Raw genomic sequence first — 21,417 nt, 5'->3', positions numbered from 1 at the left:
ACAGGATGTGCAGTGATGAACATGTTGCAGGGACAAATGGGTGGTCAGGAAAGACCTCACTGAGATGGTGGCTTTTGATAAAGACTGGAAGAGAAGGAGGAAGCAATGAGAGCCAAGCTGTTACCTGAGGAAGACAGTTCCAGGCAGAAGAGCAGCTTGGATCGGAACACTACCTTCCAGACACCTGGTACAAAGCCTTTGGCACCTCACCCAATGAACCTGATATGGGGAGGGGCAATGGAACAAATGGGCTTTTTACATAAAGTCTACTAGGAAAACATAACCCAGGCCTCCTAGCTGTAATAACGCAAACACACTCTATGGAAATGCCTATGATTCATTAGTAAATGTTTAACAATCAGCATTCCAGAGAGACCTGTAATGTATGTCAATTTGGGTGGTGTACTTTCACTATGGCCAATTTCAAGTTATCAAAATGACATTACTGAACTTGGAGTTGGAGCTGGCTTCAACATGCTGATCCTTACCCTCTTCTAGGGAAAAAATTTCCAAAACCTACCCCCAGAATTCCAGAATTTCTTACCATCTATCCCTTATTTATTATTTCTTTATTCTGAGATGGGGCCTTTTTCCCCCACCTTCATACTGTTACTGGAAAGAGGTCCCAATCCAGACCCCAAGAGAGGGTTCTTGAATCTCATGCAACAAAGAATTCAGGTTGAATCCATACAGTAAAGTGAGAGTTAGTTTATGAGGAAAGTAAAGGAATAAAAGAATGGATACTCCATGGAGCAGCCCTGAGGGCTGCTGATTGGCTATTTTTATGCTTTTTCCTTGATTATATGTCAAACAAGGAGTGGATTATTCATGAGTTTTCTGGGAAAAGGTTGGGCAAATCCCAGAACTGAGGATTACTCCCCTTTTTAGACCATATAGGGTCAATTCCTGACGTTGCCATGGCATTTGTAAACTGTCATGGCACTGGTGGGAGTGTCTTTTAGCATGCTAAGGCATTGTAATTAGCATATAATGATCAAAGAGGATGACCAGAGGTCACTTTCATCACCATCTTGGTTTTGGTGGATTTTGGCCGACTTCTTTACCCCACTCTGTTTCATCAGCAAGGTCTTTGAGACCTGTACCTTGTGCCAATATCCTATCTCATCCTGTGACAGAATGCCCAACCTCCTGGGAATGCAGCCCAGTAGGTCTCAGACTCATTTTACCCCTATTCAGGATGCAATCACTCTGGTTCAAATGTCTCTGACAATACCCCAGCACCGAAAGTCAAATCAGGAATTTGTCTTTTCCTTTATGTTCTACAGGAAAATTTATGGAGAAAGGCCTGAATAGAGAAAGAAAAATCCAGAGAGACAGAGATGCAAATGGAGGAGTCAAAGACAAATGTTGAGATGAGGGGAAAGGAAAACTTAGCCCCTAACACACAGTCCAGCTGGGTGAAATATTAAAACTTATGTGAATTAGAATTCTATGAACTCCAGCACCAGGGGGAAAAAAGGGAGAAAAAAAGAAAATGTACTGAAAGCATGTGCTTTTTACTTGAGAAAATGATGTGAATCTATCCAAAATACAAATTTGAGTGCAGCTGTCCATCCTGTTTGTTTTACAAAAAAAAAATACATAAATAAAAATAAATAAATAAGTCTTACAAAGGATTTGGGATGGAGTTAGGAAAGTAGGATAGTCAGGCCTGAGTTTAAAACTAGGTGTGCAGAGCTGTCTTAATCATAGCTTTTAATAGTAACAATAGTAACCACATGAAGCCACCTGCTTGCCTTGGTTTATTTAGCAAAATTAACCAGGACAAAGAATGAAATTAAAGGTCCAATTAAAACAGGCCAGAGGATTTTGAGTGTCCACATCTCACCAACCAAAGAAGTTCTAAGTGTGATGAACAAAGGTGCCAGGTAGAGAAAGCTCAGAAATGGCATGCTCTGCCATTCCACCCATGGCAAGGGGACTCTGCAATAAGCCCACATCCTTTGGCTAGAATGTCTCAATCCATTTAGTGGAATGATTCCTTTGAGTTTCATTCAAATTTGTAATCCACTGGGCAACACTGAATTGAATCTATGTTGGAAGGCTGTTGTGGAATAAAGCCATTAAAACTATTCTTAAGTCTTTATCTCTGAAATTCCTTTCCAATTTGCTTCAAATAATACCAACTCTGCCTAGCCTTCTGGATGCAATACTCAAGGTGTTCTTTCTCTGTGCACTTAGTAGAGGGGAGAGACCAGGGAGATCCCACAAATATTTTAGAGGCTTTTTTCCAAAGAGGCACCGATCTTCTTTATCTCTTGTATGAAATATTTTCTACCTATCTCACCGAGTTCCTATGAAAACTGAGCTTTAAGTAAAACTGAAAGCACCATGAGCCTTTGAATCAGAGGTTTTGATAACTATTATTATTATTTGCTATCACAAGAGACATCCACTGTTTTGTCTTCTGAGAAATGTACCTTTCGCTAAGCTCCAAACATGATTTTAAAGAGAGCAGCGGTCATTTTATAGAACATGCCTCCCTGGCCACAGTGATTGTTCTAGAGGTATCATGTGACTCAAGCAGGAACAATCATGGCAGCCTACCCCGTGGGCTATGATGAAAAGAATATAAGCTTTGGAGGAAATATACATTGAAAAGTCTTTAGAAATAAAAGAAGTCTCAGCTGCACAGGATGTTCTGTCTGGAACCAGCCAGATTTGCATTCTAGTTCAAATATATAGAATATTTCTTGTACACAACTCCTAATCTTCCCTGCCTCACCTCTTATCCATCCTCAGTGACCAGTTCTGTCTAGGTTTTGACCAGCTCAAGCAGGCATGACCTGATAGCACCTCTCCTCTACAAGCTTTTCATGTCCCACCCTGGGACTAGCCAGGAAGGATGGATTCAGATAAGAGCAACCCAGAAGCGCAGGGGAATTAACACTTTGCAGAGCAACACTTGACCATAGGGCAAATAAACCAACAGATAGATGTTCCCTTTTTTCTTTCCCCAGATGGACAGTTCTGAGAGGTATTTCAGATAGTCCTGTGAGATAGAGCACGCAGGTTCTATCTGGCTCAGAGTGGCCAATTATAGCTCTGTGACCTGAGCAAGTTACTTTCAAAGGGTATACTATCACTTTCCTTGAAGGTCTACTTCAAGCCACCTTCCTGACACCATGGTTACCTATTGTAAATATCAGCTGTGACCCTTTATAACCCACTCTACTGACAATCAAAAAATACATCCTTCTCTCCAATTCTTCTTTATAATCTATCAGAATCCCTAACAGTCCATCCGCATTTTAATTACAGTTACCTCAAACTTTAATAAAGATCATGATCATTCATACTTTGTCTTTCTCTTTTCCACATAATTTCTGCTTTTTTCTTCCCTCATAGCGCTTACCTTCTAACCTCTGTGTCACCACGATCAGTGAAATCTCTCCAAATTCTTCACACTCTTCTAAGAAGGCAAGATGGTGTTTTGTGAAAGAGCAGAAAAAGCTCTGGACAAAGAATCAGGATTCCTGGGTTCCAGGTCCTACTTGCCAGTGATGGCCTCAGGGGCCTACGGCAAGAGCCGCCTCCTCTCAGTTCAGTGTCTTCAAACATAAAGAGATGCCCAGCAAGGTCATTTCCAAAGCTCCTTCTTGTCCTAACTTACAGTGTCTAAGCCAAATGTTATAGAATTGTGAGGTGGCCTTGGGTCAGTCATCTGACTTTGATGCTGCCATTTGCCTCCTCAATTGTCCCAGCTCCCTCATTCCTAAACCACAGGAGGCCACGCCAAGACAGTGGCTGAAGTGTATCTACCTGACTGCCATGAACACATGCAAAATGGTGTGGAGGAAGACTGTTCAATAACCATGAAATATATACATCCAAATGTATTCACAGTAAGAACACTATTTCCTTGAGGAAAAGGGGGGATAGAAAAAAATGTTTTAAAGTTTACACATTATAGCCAGATTATGAGTGATTTTTTTCCTTGTGATTGCTGAATTATCTAAGTTGGCTACAATAAGCATGTATTGTTCATTGTAATAATGTTTAAATAAGATTATGAACTGAAACTGCTCTGCCCACAGGCCAGGCAGGCAGCCTCTAATGCTGTGGCCTGAGCCTCCTGCATCCTGAAACATCTGCCTGAGCAGCAGCTTCCACGAGGTCTTTCCTTCTCGGCCTTATTTCCCACCATTCATCTCACCCACTCTGTGTTGAACAACAAACAAGGCAGTGTCTCCAGGGGACCCCTGTTAAAGGATTATGTGTTTTTTGGAGGAAAGAAGGAGACCCACGAGCCTTGTCTGGCCCTCCCCATTGGTACACAGAAGCAGATTTGCTTCTCACATCAGTTCATTCTCACCTTGGACAGCAGTAATAGATGACCCCTCGATGGCCTGAGGGTGCTGGGAACAACCTGGGGGTCATAAGCCAGAGACCATAGGCCCTTGAACCAGCTTCTGGGTGAAGAGATAAGGAGGGAAGAGAAAAAGAGATGTCAAGGATGGTGAGAAACAGATGTGATCCCAAAAAATCATTATTAATAGCAACCTGTTTAATCTCAGGTGTCCCAGGTTTGGCAATGTTGGGAGGGAAAAGTTGTCTCCAAGTGAACTTAGAAAGGGAGAAAAGAGTGGATTCTGGAGTCAAGTAGAACTGGTTCCAATCCCACTTACTAGCTATTGCTCCTTTAAAAAAGCTACTCAATCTCCTTCAACCTGTGTTGTTTACTCCTTAACAGTAAAACGGGTAAGAAAAAAAAAATAACCCTATCTTGTCAGGCTATTTTGAAGACTAAAAGAGACAATATCTCTGAAAGGCCTAAAATAATACCTAAAGTAGATCCTCCTATATAACTCCTACTATTAATAATTTGAATTTATTATAAGGTTGCCCTTGGATATTGCTCTTGATAATGTGAATGGTTTGTGACTACCTAATGGAATTCATAGGTAGTCACAAACCATTCATATGATCATTTATACATTTATTTAACAAAAATCTATCAAGCACTCAAATACCATGTTCTGGGGAAACACATCTATGCCCTTAATGAGCAGCCAGTTTGGTACATGAGGGAGACATCTAACAGACAGCGGGGTCACAGTGTAACGGGTGGATGGAAGGTAGGAAGAGGAGTTTCAGGAGTGCTAGAAAGAGAGATCACTGCCTGGGAGAATTGGGGAAAGCTTCACAAAGAAGACAAGGTTTTATCTTTTTGAGGAGGTTTCTTTTGGTAGAGAAGAACAGGGAGGGCATTTTAGTGAGCTCAGCTTATGCGGAAACAGAATTGTGGACAGGATAGGGTGTATTTGGGCAATGGGGTGACTTTCAGTGTTAGCAAAGTACATTTGGGTCAGGAGATGTGAGAACTGAAATTGGAGGCCAGAACTAGATTGTGTTCTTACACACCATAACAAGGAATTGGCAAGGTGGAGCCAGCACAAATCTTTAAGCAGGTGAGTGACTCAATCACATTTAAACATTTTCACTCTGATAGGAGACTGAACTGAAGTGAGAGAAACCTAGAGCAAGAAGAGCAGAAAGGAAGCTGTTGTAATGATCCAGAGAGGAGGTAATGAGACCCTAAGTAAGGCAAGGACAATGATAAGAAGTGGGGGTGGATCCAGAAGCTATGTCAGTGATAGAATTGAAAGGATTTGGAGACTGGCAGGGGCAACGAGGGAGCTGGATGAGTTCCAGGTCCTGGCAAGGTATCCAGCTCTAACGACAGGATGGCTGAGTTCACTGAGAGGCAGGAAGGGAGCCCACTTTGAAGGGATGCTGAATCCAACTTGAGTTTGAGGTGGCTGAGGGGCATGTGGGTGAGATACTTGGTGTAATGTTAGAAATATGGGATCAGGAGCTCAAGAGAAAAGTCTGATGCAAACTTTAGTATAATTAGCACATGGGTTGTCATTGATGCCATGGCAATGGTTAAGATCACAAAGGAAAAGAATTGTACATTGGAATGGGGCCAGTGACTGGTGGGTGCATACATCCAGGTTTGCCCGGGATAGTCCTAGTTTACACCTGTTGTCCCAGCATCACTATTAATAGCAACTGTTTAATCTCAGGTGTCCCAGGTTTGACCATAAATTATACGGTCCTCTTACCAACGACCTAACTCTGGGGACCATCAAAGAGTGAAAGAGACAGGGCTGGGAAATCAAAAGGTTGGAGGAAACCAGGAAGGAGAGCATCTTTAATCATGCAGGGAATAGTCTCTAATTAAATGTATAAATTCTACACTATCAAATAAAAAACCCAACAAAACTTTTATTGGAACTTGATCATTTAAACTAAAGTCATCCTTTAAAAAAAAAAAATTAAGCATAAGAGATAAGCCATGAAAATTCCCAGACAGAAGCAAAAGAAGCAAGAACTTCACCATGTTTTAAATTAATTATAAACCTTCACCAATAAAAGAGTTTGGTACTGATGGAGGAATTGACAGAAACATCATTGAAATAGAATAAAGGGTATAAACGTAGAACCAAACACATATGGGAGTTTAATACATGGTAGACATGACATTTCTGATGGATGAAGCTAAGATATATTAATTATTAAATTATGTTGGGACAGCTGGCCAACCATCTGGAAAAAAAATAGGCTAGGTTTCTACACATTACTCCCATTCCAGATGGATAAAGCATTAAACATTTTAAAAAGAAACCATAAATGTACTAGAAGAAAGCATGGATTTTTTTTAATCACCCTGAGGCTGATGTTGGGGTTAAGAAGACCTTAATAACCATGATGCAAATCCCTAAATACATAAAGAAAAGTTGAATGAATTTACCTCAATAAAAATTGGTATTTTCTCATGGGCAAAAAGAACATGAATAAAGCAAAAAAAATCAAATCGCAACATAGGAAAATATTTGTAACATGCGGTAGAACAATCTTGAGCTCTTATGAATCAGTAAGTAAAAGGCCAACAACCCAAGTTTTTTAAGGGAATAAAAGTTATGTAAAGAAAAAAATTACCATTAAACATAAGAAAAGATGCTTAATCTTATTCATAATTTTAATCACTTCCACTTCAGATTGGAAAAAATACACCACTTAATAACAGCTTTATTGACATACAATTCATATACCATAAAATTCCCCCATTTAAAGCATATAGCACAGTGGGTTTTCATATATTCACAGAGTTACGTAACCATCGTAGTATTCCCTCTGAGCCTCAGTAAGCCTGGGGTGATTATGGGGTTGCTGTCATGGAATTGTTGTGAGAAATGATTGGAAATATGCATGTAGAAGACTTGGCACAGTGCCTGACCTATAGGAAGCCCTCAGCCAATAGGAGCAATTATGGTTATTACCTAGGGTCACATAGTAAATCAGGGGTGAAGCTGATGGTGGCACAAGACCCATCTTACCCGCAGGGTTTTCTCCCCTTCCTCTGTCCTCTGGCTGCTGCTTCTGTGCAGTGACTTGAGGAGGTGTAGGTGGGGAAAAGGCAATAACATCAATTGTTTGAAAAACCCTGAGATGGCTAATAATTGAGTCAGCCACAACCACTTCCATCACCTAACCCAGTGATTCTCAAAGTTAAGACTGAACACACTTTCACACACTCTTAGGAATTTTTCCTATGTGTATATTTCATAAATATCTCAAAAATGTCATAAATATCTCATAAAATTAAAATGAAAAATTGGGCAGAGAAAACAAGATTCAAGAAGATGCTGCTTTCCGAAATAAGATACTAAACAAGAGATAACAATTTTCAAGATAGGTGGCTGATAAAAAGTTAATCAATTCATAAATCCTTCATGCACATTGAGACTATAAAAGGGGTATAAAATTGAAAATCTCAGTCAAAGTATTTCAGAAAACAGCCTTTGATATGCTGAGGTTCATGTCCTATTAATGTTTGAGGTGGACACCACTTGCCCCTTACATCAGAGGACTCAATTTGTATACCCCGCAGCTGGGGATCAAAGTGGACTGGTTTCTGGGACAACTCACCTACTTACCCAACACCAAAAATCAGCCATCCCATTAAAGAATCTGTTGGGAAAACCTTCCTACAAAACTACAGAAGAAACCTACTTCAGCCCTCTGTACCAGTCAGCCTAAGTCCTTCATTCATAAATAAAAGGAATCTCAAAGAAGCTAGATTTTTGAAGGAAATCAGAAATATGAAAGGGAAAGACCAAATAAAACAACTAAACCCTCCCAGGAACCAGAAAATTCAAGGAATAGAAGAAAACTTAAAAATTCTAAATGAGTATCCTCAGAAAGATTCAAGAGGATTTTGCTTTCACAAAATATGAATGCTCCTATGAAAAGAAAGCATCAGGAATAAAGGAAGAGTACGTGGATATTTAAAATATAATTGACAAAATGAAATTATTCAACAGAGAGGTGGAATATTAACATAGACGTGGCCAAGGCTGAATTGGTATCTGCAAAACAAAGCCAAGGAAATCTCAAAGAGCTTCAAACTAAGTGACAAAGAGAAAGTTTTGTAATTGAAATGTGGGTTAGTTGCTCACTGCATGCAGAGAGTCCAATTAAAAAGAGCGAAGTCTGATATGAAGCAAGTATATTTACTCTGAAGCTAGCTTGGGGAAGAGGCACAGATGTCCTGCCTTAGTGCTCCACTTTTGGAACAGAAAGTAGACACTTTTATAAGGTAGGGGAGAAAATGAGCAAGGGCAGGGGCTCCTTATCTACTGGGCAGTTGAGTTGGTGCTTTCCAAGTTGTAAAGTGGCCAAATGGGCATGCTTTTAACATACCTACCTGAGGCAAGCCCCTGGAGGTGAGAGTTCTGTGGGAGCATGCGTTGGTCTGCAAATCAACTGTCAACTCTCAAGGAGAGGTCTGTCTTGGAGCAGACAGATGAACTTGCCCTGTAGGGAATGTCTGGTGACGGGGAGGTGAAGGTTATATTTGCATTTCTAAAGGGCTAAGAGGTGGGGGAACCGGGGAAAAAAGAAGAAAAGAAATAAAAGAAGAGAGAGAGGGAAAAATTAATTAAACCACCTCTTAGAAAAATGGGAGTACTTGGTTACAGTTTGAAAAGAAAGTTGAAAAAGACAAAGACCAATCCAGGGGGTCCAACATCTGTTTAGTAGGAGTTCAAAAGAGAGACAAGAGAGACAAGAGACAAACTGGTTCAAAAGAGAGAGAAGAGAAATTTGCATGAGGAAATAGTAATAGGATAAACAAACATAAGAATTTTTTGAGCTAAAGATTCAAGTCTTTAGATTGGGATAGGTCTACAGGCTCCCAAGCAGGTGAACTGCGGGAAAAGTGACATTTATACACCTTCTTATGAGATTTCAGAACTCCAAAGATGAATATTCTAACACCTCTCAGAGAGGGAAAAACAAGTCACCCATGAAGAAGTACTAAGATGGCATCAGACTTCTCATCTGCATTACAAGCTATCAGAAGACAATCGAGCAAATTCTTTAACATTCTAATGACACGAGTCATTCTGTACCTACACATGCCAGTTATTGATTTATGGCCTCTTGGCTCCAAATTCTCCCTTTTTGCTTGCTCTGTGAAAATGGATCTGGATCCTTTAAGTATTTTCCCTTACCTGGTATCACTGAAACACTGCCAGTAGAGAGCCCTGAAGAGACATCCCTGGGGAAAAGAGATTGATTTGCTTGCTGGTTCTGGAATGTTCCCTTGGTGGGCTCCTATAGCACGAGCAGCTTCTTCAGCATCAAGCTGCAACTGCCTTTGCAAAAATTATAACTGAGAAAATTATGACAGTGAGAGAGATCTGACCTAACCGACTCCATCTTGTTTCTAACCTCCAATCTACCCTTGTTCATTCCTGGGCATAGGCTGAACTAACTTTAAGAGAAACTTATTTTATAGTTTGAAACAAAGACTTTAACAGTCCTTTCCCAAAACAAACTCCCTTTCTGCCTGGGGACTAGACTGTCTTTGCAGGACTAACAAATTAGTCACAAGATTAGAAATGATGGCTTAGGAGTTATGAAGCTAGAGGCTGCAAGGTTCTGCTCCTGGGGATACCATCACTATTATAAAATCTAAGATGACTGCTTGAGATATTTTATAGACCCTAATCGATCTGCTGGCACCACCCTAGATAGATAAACTAGTTCATCTGGTCTTATGGCTCACAACTCAAGAACTGACTCAGCACAAGAGGACAGCTTCAACTCCCTGTGATTTCAACTCTGACACAACAAATCAGCACTCCTGACTCACTGGGTCCCCTACCCCCCAAATTATCCTTAAAAACCCCTGATACCTGGTCTCCCATACAGCATGCTCTGTGTAAATTAAACTTTTTCTCTATTGCAATTCCCCTGTCTTTATAAGTTGGCTCTGTTTAGGCAGTGAGCAAAATGAACTGGTTGGGCAGTTACAAAGCTTCTCCAGTAGCCAAGTCCTGTAGCACAAGGCTGGCAGCAGCAGGCTGGAAGTCTGTTCCCCTGGAATCATCCTCTGAGCAGTTTTGTAGTGCAGTGCATCTGGTGAGACACCACCCCATGACCAGCTTTCCATAGCACCTTAGAAGATCAATTTCCAACTGGCGTGGTACCACAGTGACTCCCCTGCTATGCAGTGAGCCATGGCTATGTCCTTTCCAACAAGACCTGGATCTCAGCTCTGGGAACAGGAGGAGAGGAGGAGGGGAGCTCTTTCTGGGTGCTCTGTCTCAGCCCAGGGGTAGAATGGCTCCTTGTATCTGTCATTCCTATATTTTTTAGAGTTCTCTTTCCTTTTTACTTAATAATTCCTCATTACTCCAATTCTCTGTTAAAGTTTATAATTCTTTATATTACTTTTCCTGTTCAAATTACTCTGTAATTTCTGTCTCCTGATTGGACCAGACTGATACACTAGACTTTAGGGGTCCAGATAAATATGAATCATGTATGAGAGCAAAATAAAGGCATTTTCAGAAATCTAACAATGCAGAAAGTTATTCTATAATTTCCAGTAATTATTTGACCATAGAAAATAAGTATGTATGTCATGAACTAGGAAATTGTGGAGGTTGCTTATACTGGTCTTGCATCATTTGGGCTACTTAAAAAAGATGACAAAGACCCCGTCAGTCTCCAGAAAGGAAAAAGTAACTCTTCTGGCATTAGTGGAAATTACAACCCATTAGAACTAATAATTGCTAACCCACTAGATCCCCACTGGAAAACAGGGGAATATGTAACCCTAGGAATTGATGGGACCGGTCTTGATCCCAGAGTCCATATCTTGATATGAGGAGAAGTCCAAAAATGCTTTCCCCAACCAGTGTTTCAAACTTTCTATAATGAACTAAATGTGCTGGTACCAGAAATTCCAGGAAAAACTAGAAACTTGTTTTTGCAATTAGCTGAGCATGTAGCTGGTCTCTTAATGTCACTTCATGTTATGTTTGTGGAGGAACCATAATGGGAGATCAGTGGCCATGGGAAGCCTGAGAATTAGTGCCTACAGACCCCGTTCCCTGTGAATTCCCAGCCCAAAAGAATCATCCTGATAACTTCTGGGTCCTAAAAGCCTCAATTATTGGGCAGTATTGCATAGCTAGAGAAGGAAAAGAATTTACCCACCCTGTAGGATGGCTCAGTTGTCGTGGACAACTACCAAAACAGCCATTTGGTGGAGTTCAAACTACACTGAAAAGAATCCATTTAGTAAATTTCCAAAGTTGCTGACTGTGTGGACCCACCTGGAGTCCCATCGGGACTGGATGGCTGCCACTGAATCCACATACTGGATATGTGGGCATAGAGCCTATGCTAAGCTGCCTGACCAATGGACAGGTAGTTGTGTTATTGGCACTATTAAACCATCTTTCTTCCTACTGCCCATAAAAACAGGTGAACTTCTAGGCTTCCCTGTCTATGCTTCCCACGAAAGGAGAAGCATGGCCATAGGTAATTGGAAAGATGACGAATGGCCCCCTGAAAGAATTATACAATACTATGGGCCTGCTACTTGGACACAAGATGGCTTGTGGGGATAACGGACCCCCATTTACATGCTCAACCGAATCATACGGTTGCAAGCCGTCTTAGAAATCATCACTAATAAAACCGGCCAAGCCTTGACTTTACCGGCCTGACAAGAAACTCAGATGAGAAATGTTATCTATGAAAATAGATTGGCTCTTGACTACTTACTAGCAGCTGAAGGAGGGGCCTGTGGAAAATTTAACCTTACTAATTGCTGCCTACACATAGATGATCGAGGGCAAGTAGTCGAAGACATAGTTAGAGACATAACAAAGCTGGCACATGTGCCTGTGCAAGTGTGGCATGGGTTTGATCCTGGGGCCATGTTTAGAAAATGGTTCCCAGTGATAAGAGGATTTAAAACTCTTATAATAGGAATTATAGTAGTAATAGGAACCTACCTACTCCCTTGTGTGCTACCTGTACTCCTCCAAATGATAAAAAGCTTTGTTGCTACCTTAGTCACCAAAATGCTTCAGCACAAGTGTACTATATGAATCACTATCGATCTGTCTTGCAGGAAGACATAGGTAGTGAGGATGAAAGTGAGAACTCCCACTAGAGAGTGAGGGTCTCAAAGGGGGAAATGAGAGAGGAGACCACTTCTCATATTGTCTTATACTTAATTTCTTGTTTGCTGAAAAAGTAGAAGTTAAAAGAATAGGCAGAAGTGAAATTCATAGGCAGCCCCACGCCACATTTTGGGCCTGGTAGTTAAAATTCAACCCCTGACCTCACCACTTGTGTTATCTTTAGATTCTAGACATTGTATGAGGAAGCATTGTGAAACTCCCTGTTCTGTTCTGTTTCATTCTGATTACTGGTACATGCAGCCTCCAGTCATGTAACCCTCATTTGCTCAATCAATCACAACCTCCCGCCCCCCGCCCTTCACGCGGCCCCTTTAGAGTTGAGAGCCTTGTAAGGGACAGGAATTACTTATTCAGGGAGCTCGGTTACCAGGACGTGAGTCTGCCAGTGCTCCCAGCTGAATAAAACTCTTTCCTTCCACAATCTGGTGTCTGAGGGATTTTGTCTACAACTTCTCCTGCTACATTTCTCCATAGCCTTAAACAACAACAACAAAAAATAATGCAAGAAAAAATAATACATGTTTTCTGGGGAAAAAGGAAGTAACTAGAAGAACCCAGTGAAAAGAAAATTTAGCACAACAATTTTTGCAGTCTTACAAAGCAACTTAGGAAGCAATTGATCCAAATTAAAACAAAAGATCACCAGGTTCTGTGAAGGTCTTCAAAAACAAGATGGCTTTATTTACGATTAAGAAACTGGAAGCTCTTAAAGACATGTTTCTTTGGTCAAACAACAATAAAAAAAGAAAGATAATTAGAAACTCCAGGAAAAAAAACTGTACAGAAAAATCACTTCATATATAATATAAACTAAATTGTGAAAAAAAATTGAGTAATTATCACATTGAGACAGAGTAGAGACAGGGTTTGGCTTCAGCTCACCCCCATTAGAGCCTTCTTTCGTGCATTCCCACTGATCACAAAGCCCACACCACTACCTCACTGATAGTCCTTTTACATAAAAAATTCCAGGAACTGGCATTAGGAGACAACGAAGTTTGCAGTGTCCCACCTTGGGAAGGCAGACTGAGCAACTGATTCACAGCCTTTTTGGGAAAGGGCAGACCACCAGGTGGCCCATGAGACCCATGACTCAAGATAACCATCTGCAACCAGATAATGCTGACCTGCATACCCTACCCCTCATGTGCTTTGCCCAGCCCAGCCTGCATATTCCACCCCCATGTCAATTCTGGAGCTTTGCCTAATCAAAAAAGCCATACCATGTCTTTTTGGAGAGTGAGCCAGGGAATTATCTCTCTTTTGAGCTGTCTCCCTTTGTCTGAGCATAAGCTCCCATAAAGCCTTGTTTAGGAAAACTCTTTTGGCCTCATGTCAATCTCTATTACATTGAGAGCCCAAGAACCCATGGTTGGTAACAACAATGTAAAGAAAAACTAATACATTTGACTTGAGACAGTCTTTAGTTTGTGGCATAGAATGCCATTTCCTTCTCTAAATCTTCATTCCTGCTAGTTGGTTTTACTAGGATTAATAGTTACCTAATTATATTATAAATGGTATTTATTGCATTTCAACTTTTTTTTTTTTTTTTGAGACAGGGTCTCACTCCATTGCCCAGGGTGAAGGGCAGTGGCATGATCATAGCTTACTGCAGACTCGAACTCCCACACTCAAGCAATCCCCTCACCTCAGCCTCTCAAGTAGGTGGGACCACACGCATGTGCTACCACACCCAGATAATTTTTGTAGTTTTTGTAGAGACAGGATCTCACTGTGTTGCCCAGGCTGGTCTCAAACTCCTGGGCTCAAGCAATCCTCTCACCTCAGCTTCCCAAAGTGCTGGGATTACAGAAATGAGCCACAAATTCAACCTTTAGAATCTACATACAAAGTAGAAAGTCTGATTGCAAATGTGCAAATGTACATGGAACCAACAAATGTAAATCTTGAGGATATGAAAAAATACAATGACTGACCAAAGCTCAGAGGGAACAAGGGTGATAGAAGTGGAAGAAGCCAGGACATCCTACATTTCTTATTTTACACATTAAGGAATTAACCCTTTTCCCATTTGCCCTGAGAATACTCGGCGGTTGGAATTGTAGCCACACATTTACCCTGAGATAACTTTGCTATGCAATATCTCATTTTTATTATTATTTTCACATTTTCAAATTGCTCTAGTATATTGACTTTGCAAACAAAAGACATCACTCTATTGATAGCATTCTGTTTTTAGTGGTGGTATTTCCATTAATATTAACAAAATACAGTAATTCTCGATCGCTGAAAATGTCAAATGCTAGAATTCTCGAACACTTGTTGGCCCTTGAAGATTCATTTGATGAGATTGACTTTTCCGATATAGATGATTCTGATTATTCGGAAGATTCTGATATTGGTTCTATTTAGAAATAACTCCAAGAACAGTGTTGATATTTTATTTTCACACTGAAAATCAGTCAGATTTGCTTGACCTTGAAGAGCGTGTTTATGTAAAATTAAATGAGTGCTGGTGGCGAGCTGCACTTCTTTTTTCTAAATGGGAAAATTAATAAATACTGTCTAAAGTTGATGACTCAAATAAATGTATACCTGCATATAAATGTGTGTGTATTTTTAAAATTATGGTGGTAGCCAAAATGATTAAAAGAGGTAGTGGTAATTCAGGAAACTTTTATTTTATTTTATTTTCCTGAGACAGTCTTGCTGTGTCACCCAGGCTGGAGTACAGTGGCACAATCTTAGCTCACTGCAACCTCTGCCTCCCAGGTTCAAGTGATTCTCCTGCCTCAGCCTCCTGAGTGGCTGGGATTACATGTGCACACCACCACGCCCAGCTAATTTTCGTATTTTTAGTAGAGACCGAGTTTCACCATGTTGGCCAGGTTGGTCTCGAACTCCTGACCTCGTGATCTGCCCACCTCAGCCTCCCAAAGTACTGAGATTACAGGCATGAGTCACCATGCCTGGCCCACTTTTCTTTTTATACCTCTTTGATGTTTGATATTCATAAGTATGTATTTGTATTTCTTGGAAAATAAATAACTAAATGAACAAATAAATATTTTAAAAATAAAATGTGTTGATATGGAAAGCTGCCCAATATATATTAACTAAAGAAAAAAGTAGGGTTCAAAACTGTGTTAAGAGCATAACAGGAAAGTTAACATCTATGTGTATGTTTATTGATGCACAGAAAGTTTGTAGAAAAGTACATTAAAAGTTATAAATGATTTTTATAGTTGGGACATAGAAATGATTATAAAACAAAAGTGGGGAGAGTGGAGAAGAATGAGATCTTCAATTTTCAATGTATACCCTTCTATATTATTTGCATTTTTCAGCATGAGTATATATTATACTTTTTTAGGTTTTTAATAAAGCTTTTGGTTCAAACAATAAATTCTTAATAAATCTCTTTTAAAAGTGAAATGTTTACCATGAAGAATTAAGCCATGATAGGAGAATTGTAAGATATAATAAGAACTTTAAAAGACATACTAGGGTTAAGGGACAGTACCAAGAAAGAGTAATACTGGAAGAGGCTGAGGCTCAGACCACAATGAAGATACAACTGCAGACCAGTGAATGGCAGAGCAGTTTGCTGGGTTGCCTGTACCAGAGCTGGTCCACAGTCACCAGGCAGGCAGGAAACAGCTCTTTTAGAGAGCAAGCAAGGCCAGCTGGTGGAGGGCTCACAGAGGGAGCTGGGGAACCACTGTGAGTAGGAGGCCTGGAGTACACAATGTCCATGTTGGGAGGGCTGTGGGAAGGTGATCCCCAAGGTAGGCCAGGTCACAAGATTGCCAAAGGGCCATGGGTTCTGGGCTGATGTCTAAGACAAAGCACCATTAGATGTCATTGCACCCACCCCATCATCAACTGTGCAGCAGCAGAAAGTGGCCAGGAGATTCTTTCTTCTACAGTGTCCTCCAGTGCCCTCTAATAAGAAAGCCTAATAGTACTCATTGTAAAGAAATGAATACAGGAATTCCATCCATTACAGCACGTATGGTAGACATTGAAAGTTGCAGGGTGAATTGGGGACTGTAAGGCCTATATATTGATAATTAACGTGGCTTTCATGGCAGAGGCAAGTCAGATTGGAAGAGATGGAATGGTGATCAGAGTACAGTCGCCTACAAATAGCCCTGCTCAGCTCCCAGAGAAAGTGTTTGCCTGTGAGGGTGATGAGGGAATCTGAGAGAGTATTTTGAACTTCAAATCAGGAGCAACAGAGAACAGACTCCCTATAATGGCAGGGTGGCATAGACAGCCCACTGCTTCCTCCCTCCTGGACCTTTCTTGGTATTATTTCTATGTATAGAATTTGATGGGCAACAAAATATAAGAATTACAAGACACTTGATCATGAGTTTTGCCACGCTGCAGCCTCTGGTGCAGCCATAGCTGCACAGTCATCACAGCCAACTCCAATTCTCTCTCTGCAACCTGCTCACGTCACATAGGTGGTGTTTTCCTTCATTTGTCCTAAAATTCCTATCATTCCCTTTGGGTTGTCTGCAAATGGATCTTCATTATGTCCCTAATTACACTCTTACATATAGCTGATATAGATACAGCTGATAGCCTGTCATTCCTTTGAGAAACATCCATTTATAGTTAGAAATTTGGCAATGATGGCATTTCTTCCACCTATTCACTTCTCCCACTTGTAAGTAGGGAGATCGTGTAATTCATCACCCAAGCAGGACACTTAGGGGAGTGAAATGAGGAGCTAAAAATAATTAACAATCGCTAATCAATCAGTAAGCACTAACCAGGACTGTCTGCGCAAACCAAAACATATGGTCATTCTTCTCAAACATCTGTAGAACTTCTTTCATGGAGATAGCTCAGTGTACAAAAAGGGAAATTACTTTTAAAACTCACCAAATTCTTTATTATGTGGCTTACAAACACACAGAGAAGCTGAGAAGTGGGAAGCTGAGAGTGAGTCAGCACAAATTTCAACCAAGTGCCTTGACTTCCTTTCTCAGCTTCCCAACCCTGAGAGGCCTTGAGAAGTTGTTGTTATTTGGCTTTCCAGGAGCAGTAACTAGCTACAGAACATGTTCTCAAATTCCACTCTGTGCTGGAGTTCAGGCTGGCCCCCTCACTACCTGTGGTCAGTGGAGCAGAGAGCTTGTGTACCCACCTGGCAGTCAGGCCTTTTTTACCCTTCTGGGTTATAAGTCTTCAGGGCTATAAGGAGAGCTGTGGTCCGTAGGTCTGGTTAGAAACTCTAGCCCTTCATAAACTTCCCTCAATCCTACAGCGACTCTAGTGAAGTACATGGGAAAGAAGTAGAAGGACATAGAACATCCTGACCTTTTTGGTTTCTTGTTTGTTTTTTTGTGGGGGAGTGGGGTGGTGATGTCACAGATGTTTTTTCATATTTGAAAGATTCATGTCAGAGAAGTCGTCAGACATTTTCTGGATGGTTCTTTATTGCCAGCAAGTTTAAATTTTTTTTTTTCTTAATTCTGCTACCTCTTCCTATTCTCTTTCTTAGATATTGTCCAAACCTCTTAGTTTCCAAGGAATCACATTGGTCGTTGATGCTTGGAAAATCTTGTCTATGATGGAGATCCTGTCCAGTGGCTGTTAAACCACAGCATCCATCCAAAGAGAAGCCCTCCCATGTGCTAAAGGCTTTGTGAACCCTCAAATATTCCTTCAGTGCTTTTGTAAAGGCATGATATCTGTTCCACGAAGGAAGCTGTGACTCTACTAGGAAGTCAAGGCACTTGGTTGAAATTTGTGCTGACTCACTCTCATTTGATAAAACAAACAATGACTTGCTCCCAGGGCAATCTTCTCCCAGTTGGAAATCCAAGAAATGAAGCACTGATAATTTAAAACAGTGTTATAAGTATTTACAGAACACAAGTCCTCTAAGATGCTTCCCCAGTCATTGTATCATTCTGTTTGTGCTGCTATAACAAAATACCACAGACTGGGTAATTTATAAATAATAGAAATTTATTTCTCACAGTTCTGAAGGCTGGGAAGTCCAAGCTCAAGGTAATGGTAGGTTTGGTGTCTGGTGAGGTCTGCTCTCTTGCTTCCAAGATGGCACTCTTGCTGCATCCTGAGGAGGGGACAAACACTGTGTCCTCACATGGCAGAAAGGCAAAAAGGACACTCCATTCAACCTCAAACTCTTTTGTGAGGGTTCTAATCCCACTCATGAGGGCAGAGCCTTCATGACTTAATTCAGAAAGGCCACACTTCTTAACGCTGTTGTAATGGAAATTAAGTTTCAGCATGAATTTTGGAGGGGAACCACCCTTCATATTACCGCAGTTACCTATGTTTGGGAAATTCTACTCACTGCAACCACCACTGGGAAATTTATAATGCAGGTCATATAATAAATGCTCTGAGAAATCCTGCAATTAAAAGAAATATTTTTGTGGTTAACCCAGCATTTCTAAAATTTATTTTACCACTGAATCTTTGTTTTGTATGTCACTTATTAAGATCCCAGAAGACATTTCTGGAAGTGTTTAAAAAAAAAAACTGTTGGGGAGTATTGGTCTAAAATTCTCTTTTTTTGTATCTCTGCCAGGTTTTTGTATCAGGATGATGCTGGCCTCATAAAATGAGTTAGGGAGGATTCCCTCTTTTTCTATTGATTGGAATAGTTTCAGAAGGAATGGTACCAGCCCCTCTTTGCACCTCTGGTAGAATTCAGCTGTGAATCTGTCTGGTCCTGGACTTTTTTTGGTTGGTAGGCTATTAATTATTGCCTCAATTTCATAGCCTGTTATTGGTCTATCTAGGGATTCAACTTCTTCCTGGTTTAGTCTCAGGAGGGTGTATGTGCCCAGGAATTTATCCATTTCTTCTACATTTTCTAGTTTATTTGCATAGAGGTGTTTATAGTATTCTCTGATGGTAGTTTGTATTTCTGTGGGATTGGTGGTGATATCCCCTTTATCATTTTTTATTGCATCTATTTGATTCTTCTCTCTTTTCTTATTAGTCTTGCTAGTGGTCTATCAATTTTGTTGATCTTTTCAAAAAACCAGCTCCTGGATTCATTGATTTTTTTGAAGGGTTTTGTGTATCTCTATCTCCTTCAGTTCTGCTCTGACCTTAGTTATTTCTTACCTTCTTCTAGCTTTTGAATGTGTTTGCTCTTGCTTCTCTAGTTCTTTTAATTGTGATGTTAGGGTGTCAATTTTAGATCTTTCTTGCTTTCTCTTGTGGGCATTTAGTGCTATAAATTTCCCTCTACACACTGCTTTAAATGTGTCACAGAAATTCTGGTATGTTGTGTCTTTGTTCTCATTGGTTTCAAAGAACATCTTTATTTCTGCCTTCATTTCATTACATACCCAGTAGTCATTCAGGAGCAGGTTGTTCAGTTTCCATGTAGTTGAGTGGTTTTGAGTGAGTTTCTTAATCCTGAGTTCTAATTTGATTGCACTGTGGTCTGAGAGACAGTATGTTATAATTTCTGTTCTTTCACATTTGCTGAGGGGTGCTTTACTTCCAACTATATGGTCAATTTTGGAGTAAGTGTGATGTGGTGCTGAGAAAAATGTATATTCTGTTGATTTGGGGTGGAGAGTTCTGCAGATGTCTATTAGGTCCACTTGGTGCAGAGCTGAGTTCAATTCCTGGATATCCTTGTTAACTTTCTGTCTCATCGATCTGTCTAATGTTGAGAGTGGGGTGTTAAAGTCTCCCCTTATTAATCTGGGTCCTTCTGTATTGGGTGCATATATATTTAGGATAGTTAGCTCTTCTTGTTGAATTCATTCCTTCACCATTATGTAATGGCTTTCTTTGTCTCTTTTGAGCTTTGTTGGTTTAAAGTCTGTTTTATCAAAGACCAGGATTGCGATCCCTGCTTTTTTTTGTTTTCCATTTGCTTGGTAGATCTTCCTCCATCCCTTTATTTTGAGCCTATGTGTGTCTCTGCACATGAGATGGGTCTCCTGAATACAGCACACTGATGGGTCTTGACTCTTTATCCAATTTGCCAGTCTGTGTCTTTTAATTGGAGCATTTAGCCCATTTACATCTAAGGCTAATATTGTTATGTGTGAATTTGATCCTGTCATTATGATGTTAGCTGGTTATTTTGCTTGTTAGTTTATGCAGTTTCTTCCTAGCATCGATGGTCTTTACAATTTGGCATGTTTTTGCTGTGGCTGGTACCAGTTGTTCCTTTCCATGTTTAGTGCTTCCTTCAGGAGCTCTTGAAAGGCAGGCCTGGTGGTGACAAAATCTCTCAGCATTTGTTTGTCTGTAAAGGATTTTATTTCTCCCTCACTTATGAAGCTTAGTTTGGCTGGATATGAAATTCTGGGTTGAAAATTCTTTTAAGAATATTGAATATTGGCCCCCACTTTCATCTGGTTTGTAGAGTTTCTGCTGAGAGATCTGCTGTTAGTCTAATGGACTTCCCTTTGTGAGTAACCCAACCTTTCCCTCTGGCTGCCTTTAACATTTTTTCCTTCATTTCAACTTTGGTGAATCTGACAATTACATGCCTTAGAGTTGCTCTTCTTGAGGAGTATCTTTGGGGCATTCTCTGTATTTCTTGAATTTGAATGTTGGCCTGCCTTGCTAGGTTGGGGAAATTCTCCTGCCTTGCTAGGTTGGGGAAGTTCTCCTGGATAATATCCTGAAGTGCGTTTTCCAACTTGGTTCCATTCTTCCAATCACCTTCAGGTAAACCAATCAGACATAGATTTGGTCTTTTCACATAATCCCATGTTTCTTGGAAGCTTTGTTTCTCTTTACTCTTTTTTCTCTAAACTTCTCTTCTCACTTCATTTCATTCATTTGATCTTCAATCACTGATACCCTTTCTTCCACTTGATCGAATCAGCTACTGAAGCTTGCGCATGTGTCATGTAGTTCTCGTGCCATGGTTTTCATCTCCATCAGGTAA

The 21,417-nt window shown here is 40.4% G+C and overlaps 2 annotated features.

Moving 5' to 3' along the window:
• Positions 203–497: an enhancer, noted in NCBI's record as "tiled region #10894; HepG2 Activating DNase matched - State 8:EnhW". NCBI's record gives its function as "activates a minimal TATA promoter and a strong SV40 promoter by Sharpr-MPRA in HepG2 cells {active_cell/tissue: HepG2}" and the evidence as "EXISTENCE:reporter gene assay evidence [ECO:0000049][PMID:27701403]".
• Positions 17,669–18,868: an enhancer, noted in NCBI's record as "MED14-independent group 3 enhancer chr14:56280398-56281597 (GRCh37/hg19 assembly coordinates)". NCBI's record gives its function as "activates an origin of replication core promoter dependent on BRD2, BRD4, P300/CBP and CDK7 cofactors, and independent of MED14, by STARR-seq in HCT116 cells {active_cell/tissue: HCT116}" and the evidence as "EXISTENCE:reporter gene assay evidence [ECO:0000049][PMID:35650434]".

The sequence above is a fragment of the Homo sapiens genome, chromosome 14, assembly GCF_000001405.40.
Source record: "Homo sapiens chromosome 14, GRCh38.p14 Primary Assembly".
NCBI lineage: Eukaryota > Metazoa > Chordata > Mammalia > Primates > Hominidae > Homo > Homo sapiens.
Note: the sequence above shows the minus strand (reverse complement) of the source record. Positions and strands in the feature narration are given on the sequence as shown.